Source organism: Homo sapiens, chromosome 14 (assembly GCF_000001405.40).
Source record: "Homo sapiens chromosome 14, GRCh38.p14 Primary Assembly".
Taxonomy (NCBI): Eukaryota; Metazoa; Chordata; class Mammalia; order Primates; family Hominidae; genus Homo; species Homo sapiens.
In genome coordinates, this window is record NC_000014.9 from 50,178,577 (window position 1) to 50,191,056 (window position 12,480).

General features: G+C 38.5%; 1 protein-coding gene across 11 annotated transcripts in view; it reads right to left on the reverse strand.

The window, feature by feature from the left end:
• Window positions 1-12,480, reverse strand: part of SOS2 (SOS Ras/Rho guanine nucleotide exchange factor 2) — a 114,753-nt gene that overhangs the window by 61,447 nt on the left and 40,826 nt on the right. For all 11 annotated transcript variants that reach the window (XM_047431723.1, NM_001411020.1, NM_006939.4 and 8 more), the window contains 3 exons: window positions 9,921-10,124; window positions 3,887-4,030; window positions 1,996-2,106 (listed from right to left, as the gene is read on the reverse strand). In XM_047431723.1, coding sequence (XP_047287679.1) covers window positions 1,996-2,106; window positions 3,887-4,030; window positions 9,921-10,124 — 459 coding nt within the window. The remainder of the gene's footprint in view (window positions 1-1,995; window positions 2,107-3,886; window positions 4,031-9,920; window positions 10,125-12,480) is intronic.

Here is a 12,480-nt window from a genome sequence, read left to right on the forward strand (position 1 = left end):
CCTCCAAGTGATCCTCCTGCCTCTGCCTCTGTAGTAGCTAGAACTACAGGTGTGCACCACCATGCCCGCTAGTGTGTGTGTGTGTGTGTGTGTGCATATATATATATATATATATATATATATATATATATATATACACACATATACACACACATATATATATATATATTTTTTGGAGACAGGGTCTTGCTCTGTCACCTAGGCTGGAGTGTAGTGGCACGATCTCGGCTCACTGCAACCTCCGCCTCCCGGGTTCAAGCAATTCTCCTGCCTCAGCCTCCCGAGTAGCTGGGATTACAGGTGCATGCCACCACACCCAGCTAATTTTTGCATTTTTTAGTAGAGACAGGGTTTCGCCAGGCTGGCAAGGCTGGTCTGGAACTCCTGACCTCAGGTGATCCGATCCACCCACCTCAGCCTCCCAAAGTGCTGGGATTACAGGCATGAGACATCACGCCCAGCCTTCAGGTATACAGGAACCAAGAGATAAGAGCAGTAACAAATACTACAGACATTAAGTATGAAATAAAAATATCCACTGGATTTGGCAATTAAGTTACTTGTCAAAGGCAATTTATATCCTGATTAAAACATACATGGTAGTGTTTTCATAAAGAATGGTAAAAAATAATATAAAGACAATTGGCTGCAAAGAAAAAATGAGAGAGGAAATGAAAAAACTTTCTTCACTCTAGTTAATTATTCTACTAGAGTGAAGAAAGGTTTGTTCATTTGTTTGCTTGTTTGTTTCAGGACTATAAGGATTTTTACCATATTCAAACGTCAAGGGGTAAAAGCCAGTTTATTTTTTATTTTTATTTTTTTTGAGACTGGGTCTCACTCTGTACCCAAGGCTGGAGTGCAGTGGCGTGATCATGACTCATTGCAGCCTTGACCTCCCAGGCTCAAGCAATTCTCCTGGCATGCCACAGGTGCACGCCACCACACTCGGCTAAGTTTTTATATTTTGTAGAGATGAGGTCTCCCTATTTTGCCCAGGCTGGTCTCAAACACCTGGGTCCAAGCAATCCTCTGACCTTAGCCTCCCAAAGTGCTGGGATTATAGGCAAGAGCCACCACGTCTGGCTGGAAAAGTCAGTTTAGATGTAGAAGTTTTACATATTTAGCCAAGTATTACCTATGCCAACATAACTTTTGTTGTTAGTGTTGAGATAGTAAAAATAAAATTTTATTTGTATCTCTCCACTTATTTTCATTTTATCTAAGTGTATTCCTGAACCAACTAACTTGCATACTCTCCCTCAATACAGTATTTATCTCCTTTAAATTGTAGGCCTCATAGAAAAATCAGTATGAGTACATAGGAGGTTGAGGTTATCTCAACTTTTTAAGATTTCTCCAAATCTTCCTCCTATAGGGAACATAATCCTGAAATCACACTCCAGATTCATCTTTATTTTTTATTTATTTTTCTATTTATTTTTTGAGACAGAGTCTCACTATTCCACCCAAGCTGGAGTGCAGTGGCGCGATCTCGGCTCACTGCAACCTCCGCCTTCCGGGTCAAGTGATTCTCCTGCCTTAGCCTCCTGAGTAGCTGGGATTACAGGAGCTCACCACCACGCCCAGCTAACTTGTGCAATTTTAGTCGAGACAGGGTTTCACCATGTTGGCCAGGCTGGTCTCAAACTCCTGACCTCAAGTGATCCACCTGTCTTGGCCTCCCAAAATGCTGGGATTCTAGGCATGAGTCACTGCACCCAGCCAAATTCATCTTTATACCCCAGATCTAGTATGTGCCAAATTCTTCTGGTCATTCAGTACTCATGATGTTGTACTATAAAAGATTTCTACAATAAGAACAGACAGAACTCCAGAGAGAAAACAGAAGATAATCCAAAACAGGTTTAGAATGAACAAGATTTGAAGGATTACGAGGATTCCAGAATTACAAATATTTGAAGGATAAAATAGTGAGATATTTATTTGCTTTATTAAAAAAAAAAAAAAAAAAAACCTTCAATTTAAGTTTACCTGAAAGTGTAGAGCAACTGCAGGTCTGGCCATCAATTTATTGAAATGTTCATGAAACTCTGGTGAAAGAATGTCCTGTGATAATGTTTCATAAGGATCAAATGCTTGCTCCTATTTTTTTAAAAAGAGAAAAAGCATTAGGTTTAAAAGAATATATTTTCTACCAATATGGTACAGATTATTATCACTTGATCCCAGGAGTTCGAGGTTACAGTGAGCTATGATTGTGCCACTATATTCCAGCTCGAGCAACAGAGTGAAACCCTGTCTCAAAAGAAAAGAAAGAAATGAAAAGAAAAAAGAGAAGAGAAGAAGAAAGATTTCTTTTCCCATTAGACTGGCAAAAATTAATGGGATATCTGCAGAACCGATATGAAAACAAAACAAATTTTGAAAAAAAGAATTAAAAAGAAAAAGAATAAGGTAATACCGAGTTAGTGAAGGGAAAGGGTGAAGAAAGAAGGAAGCTTACATACACTGGAACTTAGCTGGAAGTGAACGTGGCAAAGTGTTTCCAAGTTCTAAAAATGTATCTAGTCTTTAGCACTACAATTCCACTTCCAGGAATATATCCTTAAAAATGATTAGAATATATGACTGGGCGCGGTGGCTCATGCCTATAATCCCAGCACTTTGGGAGGCCGAGGCGGACGGATCATGAGGTCAGGAGTTCGAGGCCAGCCTAGCCAACAGAGAGGAACACCGTCTCTACTAAAAATACAAAAAATTAGCTGGGCGTGGTGGCAGGCGCCTGTAATCCCAGCTACTCAGGAGGCTGAGGCAGGAGAATGGCTTGAACCTGAGAGGCAGAGGTTGCAGTAAGACGAGATCGTGCCATTGCACTCTAGAATGGGTGACAGAGGGAGACTCCATGTCAAAAAAAAAAATGATTAGAATATCAAGGCATAGTGCAAATATGTTTGTTGCAGTGTTGTTTACAATAACAAAAAAAAAAAGGAAAAAACTCTACAACCTATGGATAATAGATAGTTAAAATATGTTATGGTGTCTCCATATAACATCACATTATTTATACTTAAAAATTGTGTTGAAGTATATACATTAACATGGACAATGTTTATGATATACAGAGTAAAAACAGTAAGTTATAAAATAGTGGGATCCTATTTTTGCAAACACACATACATTCGTATGTATGCACAGAAATATATAAGGATAAGTTATCTCTGGGTGTTATAAAATAAAGTGACTTTCATCTAATTTATATATCTATTTTTCTGAATATTTTTACAATGAGCTACATTATTTTTATAGTCATTTAAAAGATAAAATGATTTTTACTTTGGAAAACATTAAAATAATATAAAGCTTCTTTCCAACTTTAAGTTTAAAATCCATAGAAGGTAAAGAGCTATGGTCAATAAAATGTATCTTCCTTCATCTTGAATATACTTACCACTAAAAAAAAAAAAAAAACCTAAATGTTACTACTCTAGTTTATATACTACTCTAGTATATAAACTTTCACTATAAATATTGCCATAAACACACTATAAAGAAAGTGTCACTATATAGGCAATGTGATTTTAGTTTGTTATCAGTTAAATCTTAAATATCTTTTTATAATGGCCAGTGGTATCTTCTAATTTTCATAAAGAATATCTTACAAAAAAATTTTGTTTTTTGGAGACAGGGTCTCACTCTGTCGCCCAGGATGGAGTGCAGTGACACAATCATGGGCTTGATCTCCCAGGCTTCCTACCTCAGCCTCCTGAGTCACTGGGACCACAGATGGGCACTACCATGCCTGGATAATTATTTTACTTTTTTATGGAAACGGGGTCTCACTATGTTGCCAAGACTCATCTCTAAGTTTCTTACTACAGCATTTAGGGCTTTAATGAGAATATAAGTAGTTTTGTAAACTTACTTCTGCCAAATCTTCAAAACAGCTGCCAGCTAAGGGATGAGGACTGCTTTCATCAGTCATTTCAACTGTGTCTTCAATCAAACCTAAAAGTTTCACAGTCAATTCATGTATATCTGAAATGTTACTAAAAATCTTTTCGATATCCTGAAAAAAGAGAAGGAAGGTTAAGAAATGTGAGATTGAGAATTCTGCTAAAAAATTACTAAATATAAAGAGCAATATAGGCTACTCGAGGCAGACTGCCTATGGAATAGCCCTGCTCCACAAGAAACAGTACTTTTGCTGCTGCTGTACGCTGCCGCTTCAGCAGAGGTTCCTACCATTGTCATGCCTTTGACTTCTTTCTTAGACAAAGCCAAGAACTGTCCCGAGCTAAGCCCCAACTTTGGGGCTTACCTGCCCTGCACCAAATACATCATTTAATTTATGGGTGGTACTCGTTTTCTACATGTTTTTAAATTTATGGAATAAACTATAGAATTTCTTTAACTAGCATATCTTTTATTGGGAGCATGATTAAAGCTATTATCACTTCTGAACAATTCATATATTATATAAAGCAATATATTTCCATTAAATGTCAACAAGCTATAGCAGAATTTTTGCATTTTGCTCTTGGGAAAACTCATTCTTTGTAAAAATAAAAGTTATTACATGTGAATGCACTCCCATTATAAAAGATTCAAACACAAGACAGAGAGAGTAAAATATGAATGTTTACTTTCATGCCCCCCTTACACCCATGACCCTCAGAGGTAGAAACTATTAATAGTTTAGTATGCATTATTCCAGTATAAAATTCCAACCATTTTCAAACATGTACATCTTGATGTTAATATATTAAAAGATGGAATCATACTGTGTATTCTTTTAACTTGGGTTGGAGAGGTCAACGTACTTTGGAAATAAAGAGACTTGCTTGTACAAAAAAAAAAAGAAACAATATAAGAGTTAAGGGTATATCTTCATTGAATCTCAAATTAATATATTCCAAGACAGTAAAAATCAATCATGAACAGGAAGAGAATTTTAAAAATCTCTTGGATAACAGACAATAAAAATACTACAAAATATAGATTCTAGATAGTTTTTTTAAATCTAAAACCTCCTACTGTGGATGATTCTAAGCTACTTTTTACATAAAGAATTCTGGCATTTGAGTGTTTTAAAACTGGCTGAGATGCTAAAAGACTTGATCAAGGTCTTACAGAGCCCTAGGTTTTACTTATAGCTTAGGCTATATAGTCTTATAGATTAATGGTAAGAGCTGGGATGAGAATGAAGATAACTCCTAATCCTGTTACAATCTGGTTTCACAATTTAGGGCCCATCTCCTGGATCTGAGAAGGAATTACAGATTTCATCCAAGCTCCCGTCTGTGAATTACAGCCATTCACTGCTTAAAGACGGGTATGTTCTGAGAAATGCGCTGTTAGGCGATTTTGTCATTGTGCAAATATCACGGCTAGATGATATACTACAACATTTAGGCCATATAGGTATAGCCTGTTGCTCCTGGGCTACAAACCTGTACAGCATGTTACTGTATGGAATACTGTAGGTAACTGTAACACAATGTTAAGTATTTGTGTATCTAAACATATCTATATAGAGAAAAGGTACAGTAAAAATATAGTATAATCTTACAGGATTACTGTCATATATATGGGTATTTATAGTCTTATCACTGACTAAAACATCATATGTGGCAGATAGCCATATATCTAGGATAAGACAGGTTCAAGCCCTCTGAACACAAACACATCATATGACTGACCATCCCGGTTATGGCCAACTATTATTCACTCTGGCATCTTATAATGGAAACATCACGGGCTTTGGAACCTGACAGACCTGAGCTTGGATCCTGGCTCCACCACATGTGGTATAATATGAAACATATTTTTGGTCTTTGTCCCTGGTTCCTGTCTTAGAGCCCCTAAAACGCTAAGAATATCCTGAGTGATAATAATGTCTTTTGTTATTCATAATGAGTACCTTTGATAAATACTGAGTTTATGCTAATGAGGTTACTTACAGTAGGGCCCCTAGATAACCTCATGATAGGGCCAGTCACCAAAAAGACCAGATGATTAGAGGATTGAAGGGTTACTTGAAACCAAACTGACTCATGAGAAAAAGAAAAAGGATCAGAGGGTTGCAACTTTCAGCCCCACCCACTGACCTCTAAAAAATTGGGGAAAGAGCCTGGGAAACATGGCAAAACCCCATCTCTACAAAAAATGCAAAATTAGTCGGGTGGGGTGGTATGTGCCTGTAGTCCCAGCTACTCAGGAGGCTGAAGCTGGAGGATCTGCTTGAGCCCAGGAAGCAGAGGTTATGGTGAGCCAAGATGGTGCCACTGCACTTAAGCCTGGGCAACAGAGCCAGACCCTGTCTCCAAAAAAAAAAAAAAAAAAAAAAAAAGGGCAGGGGTGAGAGGCTAGAGATCAAGCTCCATAAAAACTCTTGATGAGCTTCCTGGTTGCAGACCTTGTGGAGGTGCTAGGAGGGTGGCTTGCCCAGAGAGGGCTTGGAAACTCTGTGCCCCTATACTTTGCCCTGTCCATCTCTTCATCTGTATCATTTTAAAGTCCTTCATAATAAACTGGTAAACGTGTTTCCCTGATTTCTGTGAGCTGTTCGACCAAATTAATGGAACCCAAGGAGGGGGTCATGGGAACTCCAATTTATAACTGATCAGTTCGGAGCACAGTTCACAACCTGGGACTTTCAATTGGCGCCTGAAGTGTGAGACAGTCGTGTTGGGACTGAGTCCTTAATCTGTGAGATCTGACACTATTTAGAGGTAAATAATGTCAAAATTGAGCTAAATTATAGGACACCTAGTTGGTGTACACAGGAGAATTACTTTGGTGTATGGGGAAAAAATCCTCACATACGTTGTCACAGAAATGTTCTGTGTTGAGTGTGAAGATTAGAGAGGGGTCAGGCGCGGTGGCTCATGCCTATAATCCCAGAACTTTGGGAAGTCAAGGTGGGTGGATCACCTAACGTCAGGATTTCGAGACCAGCCTGGCCAACATGGCGAAACCCCGTTTCTACCAAAAGTACAAAAATTAGCCAGGCGTGGTGGTGCACATCTCTAATCCTAGCTACTCGGGAGGCTGAGGCAGGAGAATCGCTTGAACCCGGGAGGTAGAGGTTGCAGTGAGCCAGGACTGCACCATTACACTCCAGCCTGGATGACAGAGCAAGACTCTGTCTCAAAAAAAAAAAAAAAAAGATTAGAGAGGAAAAACTGTTTTTCCCTTTTACAACATGCCAGATGAATGACCCTGGCTTAGGAATGAAAAGGACAATAATAACAACTAACATGTATTGGGCACATTATATTCTAGGCACTCTTCTAAGCACTTGAAATGTAATAACCTAATATCCTTATTAGATAGGTACTATCATCATCCTCATTTTACAAATGAGGAAACAGAGGCATAGAGCAGTTAAGTAATTTGCCCGTTATCACACATTTGGTCTGCTAATACCCAGCTCATCAGGGTCTTAGGGTTAAATTAGATGATTTCTGTAAAATGCTCCTGGCACATATTAGGCCTTCCAGAAATGCGAGCTTTTTGAAAACATAGGATGAGGGGCAAAAGGAGTAACTTAAGATCATTTTTAAGTCATTCACTTCTTTAATATTTGCAGAGTACTATGCTCTGATTTTAGATAGTCTTTCCCTCAAAAGTTTATATTTTACTTAATGCTAAAAAAAATTATAGTAGATACAGAGATAGATAAAAAAGGGATTCACTCTTCCATCTGACCCTTTAGTATTAAAATAGACATTTTCTGTCATATCAGCACTAATCCAGTGAAAAGAGACCCATAAAAATTAATTCCTGAGGAATGAAAACTGATGGGACACAAAAAGACAAAGATAATATTAGCTGCCAGCATTTATTAGGTTTTTATTCTTCATACCACTAGAGACAAAATCCAATTATAACGTGGTAGAAAAGAAGCCACATTCAAGATTAAGCTCTATAACTAACTTGATTAAGATGTTAATTTCCAGCTAGGCACAGTGGCTCAAGCCTGTAATCTTAGCACTTTGGGGGGCTGAGAAGGAAGACTGCTTAAGCCCAGGAGTTCAAGACCAACCTGAACAACATAGCAAGACCCCCATCTATATTTAAAAAAAAAAAAAAAAAGTCAATCTCCTTACAAGTAAAGTAGAGATGACAATATTTGCCCATTCTATCCCTCAGGATTGTTATAAGGGTCAAATAAAATAGAACAGTACTTTGAAAAACATAAAGTTCTGACTACTTATGATAGTATTCCCAGTAGGAGTTATTATAAACATTGTTAAACTAAACATATATCCAAAAGAAAAAAAGTAATTGCCAACTAAAACACTTTCGATTATCATTTAAAACTCATTCTTTTGGAATATAATGAGAAAAGCTAAATCTGTTCCTAACTTTAAATACTCAACCACCTGTGTCTGAGTGTCACTCTTATTTACTCACGATGTAGTTATTTTGTGGAGGAAGTTAGGAGGTACAAGATAAATAAGACAAAGGCTAAGTATCTTTTTTTTGAGCCGAGGTCTTGCTCTTTTGCCCAGGCTGGAGTGCAGTGGCACGATCATGGCTCACTATAGTCTCAAATTCCTGGCTCAAGCAAATCTCTCACTTCAGCCTCCCCAGCAGCTGGGATTACAGGCATGTGCCATCATGCCCAGCTAAATTTTAAATTTTTTTGTAGAGACTGGGTCTTGCTCTGTTACCCAGGCTGGTCTCAAATTCTTGGCCTCAAGCAATCCTCCTGTCTCAGGTTCCCAAAACAGCTGAGATTACAGGCATGAGCCACTGCACCTGGCCAAGACTAATTATTATTATTATTATTATTGTTACTTTTTTTTTTTTTTTTTTTTGAGAAGAAGTCTCGCTCTGTCGCCCAGGCTGGAGTGCAGTGGCGTGATCTCGGCTCACTGCAAGCTCTGCCTCCCAGGTTCACGCCATTCTCCTGCCTCAGCCTCCGGAGTAGCTGGGACTACAGGCGCCCACCACTACGCCCGGCTAACTTTTTTGTATTTTTTAGTGGAGACGGGGTTTCACCGTGTTAGCCAGGATGGTCTCGATCTCCTGACCACGTGATCTGCCTGCCTTGGCCTCCCAAAGTGCTGGGATTATAGGCGTGAGCCACTGCACCCGGTCAAGACTAATTATTTTTAAAGTGTGGGCCAAACACATAGACATGGAAAAATAAATCATGTGATAAAAGAAAGAAAAAAAACTTTTTTGTTTGTTAAACATGGCATTCTGCATAAACTTTTATTTTTAAAAGTTCCACCGTTAAAACTTTATTTTTTTTAACCCCATGGTATTCTGAGCTTCAAACTAAAACTTTAAACTACTGCCTTAAGGTACTTACCAAAAGACAGAAAAATGCAGAGGTCTTCCTTTCCTAGACCATACATCTTTTTCACCACCTCCAAATGAATGACTCTAAATATCAGAACTGCATAACGGAAAATGATTTCACCCCAGTATAAACCTCCTTCTAATTTTGTGCCTAATTTTCATTGTCACTGTACCTATTATATAACAATTCACATGTTTATAAAGCCCACAAATACATGAAAGTATTTTTAATGTACTCATAAAGTATTTAAAGTTACTATTTATGGGCTGGGTGCAGTGGATCATGCGTATAATCCCAGCACTTTGCGAGGCCAAGGCAGGTGGATCACTTGAGGTCGGCAGTTTGAGACCAGCCTGGCCAATATGAAGAAACCCCATCTCTACTAAAAATATAAAAAAATTAGCCGATTGTGGTGGTGCATGCCTCTAATCCCAGCTACTCAGGAGGCTGAGGCAGGAATTGCTTGAACCCGGGAGGTGGAGGCTGCAGTGGTGCGAGCTGAGATCACGCCACTGCACTCCAGCCTGGGCAACAGAGCAAGACTCCGTCTCAAAAAAATAAAAAAAAGTGACTATTTATGATTTTAAGCTGGTCTGGTTTTTTGGGGTACACAGAATTTCAAACCCAAAAAGGTACTTACAGAAGGTTTAAACAGCTTTCTATCAGAAAGAAAGGCTTCTCGAAACACTTTTATGATCATATTTAATTCCCGTAGATACTGTCTTTCTTCTGCGATTTCAGTTCTGACAAGATCATAGTAGTTTAATTCACCAGAAGAACTAGGTTCATCTTCACAGAGAGAAACCAAACCTATGTCATCCTGATCAAACATGTCCATCAAAACCTGAGAAACAGAAATCAATAATGTATAAATTTATTTTCTTTACTTTTATAAAAACTGCCTCAAAGTACTTGAAATCTATACGTTATTAAACAGGGCTGGGTGTTGTAATCCCAGCACTTTGGGAGGCCAAGGCAGGAGGATCACTTGAGGTCAGGAGTTCAAGGCCAGCCTGGCCAACATGGTGAAACCCTGTCTCGACCAAAAATACAAAAAATTAGCCAGGCGTCATGGTAGGCGCTTGTAATCCCAGCTATTTGGGAGGCTGAGGCAGGAGAATTGCTTGAGCCTGGGAGGTCAAGGCTGCAGTTGAGTCATGATCACACCACTGCACTCCAGCCTGGGCGACAGAGCGAGACTCCATCACACACACACACACACACACACACACACACACACACACACGCACACACAAATATTACACAATGAGTTGTGTGTATTATAAGTAAATTTATATGATAAAACCTAGAATAAAAGGAAAAAAAGTTGTTGAAGGTGGGAAATATTCAAATAAAATCGAGTATGGCAAAATAAATATTTCTGGAGATATGAACTAATGGTGAAATATGTACTAATACATATGTATATGTATATATGTATACTGTAATACACACACACACACACACATAATAGCAAAAAAAAAAAAAAAAAGCAAGCCTGTCTTTGGGGAACAATAACCCGAGCCAAAAATCCCAGTTCAGCCACTACTCGACTATGATTATGAACACATTTATTCTTTTGAAAGTCACATTCCTTATGAGTAAAATGTAGCTGATAAGAAGAATTCAATGTGGTAATGTATATAAAATGCATACTACTACATCTAGCAAATAGTAGGTATTCAACATGGTAGTTCCTTGCCATATTATAAGGATGACAGTACATATTTGAGTAGGGTTAAAAGGAGAAAAGTGAAATGCTACTATGGTAGAGGCACACGATAGATCAGTGCGATGCATTTCTGATGCACATTTACTACAATGACCACTGCTATTACGTTCATTTGCTAAACCCAAACATCTCACAGATGCTTAAATTGTTGTAGCAACCACTTCTTCTTTCAGAAATGCTACCATGGACTTAGGTCAACCAACAGGCAAGAACTAGCTATAAATCAAAGTGAAAAAGAAAGTTGACTATACTTTATTTTTTATTTTTTTTTTTTTTGTGAGACACAGTCTTGCTCTCTCACCCAGGCTGGAGTACAGTGGCATGATCTCAGCTCACTGCAACCTCCGCCTCCCAAGTTCAAGTGATTCTCCTGCCTCAGCCTCCTGAGTAGCTGGGATTACAGGTGCACGCCACCATGCCTGGCTAATTTTTTTTTGTATTTTTAATAGAGACGGGGTTTCACCATGTTATTCAGGCTGGTCTCGAGCTTCTGACTTCAAGTGATCCACCTGCCTCAGCCTCCCAAAGTGCTGGGATTACAGGTGTGAGCCACTGCGCCTGGCTGTGACCATACATTTTATAATTAATAATACTTTTTTTTAAAAAAAATGATTGGACCTAGTTAATTATATATTTAAGACTGACCGAAACGTACCCAGAGAGTTCAGCATAAAGGTATACCCTGAAAAGGAAACTACAAAAAGTAAAAACTTCAAAGGGATGAGAGGAAATTCTGACAACACAATAACAGATATTCATTCATTCATTCTGAAAAACATCTACTGATCACCATAAACTGTACCACATGTTGGTAAAATATGCTAATAAAGTAAACATGAACTCTGCCTTCCTAATCTTTTTGAATCTAACTCAGAAATATCTTATAAGCATCTTTTAAATCTGGTCAGCTCTCTCCATCTTACCGCAGGCTTTAGATTACTCCACTAAACAATCACCATCTCTTAAAAAGATACACAAGTTTCATAATTTGATCTGCCTGCCACAGGTCTTCCCAACCCCAGTTCTAAAATCATGTTACTAAAAATAAATGATACATAAAAATGATACTGGATTTCATTGCCTTCTGCATAAAATCCTAACTTCTTTAGGATAAAGGCCATTCATAATTTAACTCCAACCCACCTTCCTAATCTCATGTTCTGTGACACTCTCAAATCCCTCCCTTCCCCACTGCTTACTCCATGCAATCCACCTTCTTGTCATTGGAGACCATCATCCCCACTTCCCAGCCACTTTAAATTTAAAGAAACCAGTAAGGCTACACAGGGAATTTGGTGATGAACTCTGATTTCAAACAGACATGCAAAATAAAGGAAGACATAAGACATAAAAACACACAGAAGAGCTACCACCCTCTTCTCTTCCCCACCAGAGACCCTTTTAGAGTAGGTCATACTTGCTAGCTGTAACTTCTTGCTCCCATTCACTTAGCAAGCCCATTACTATA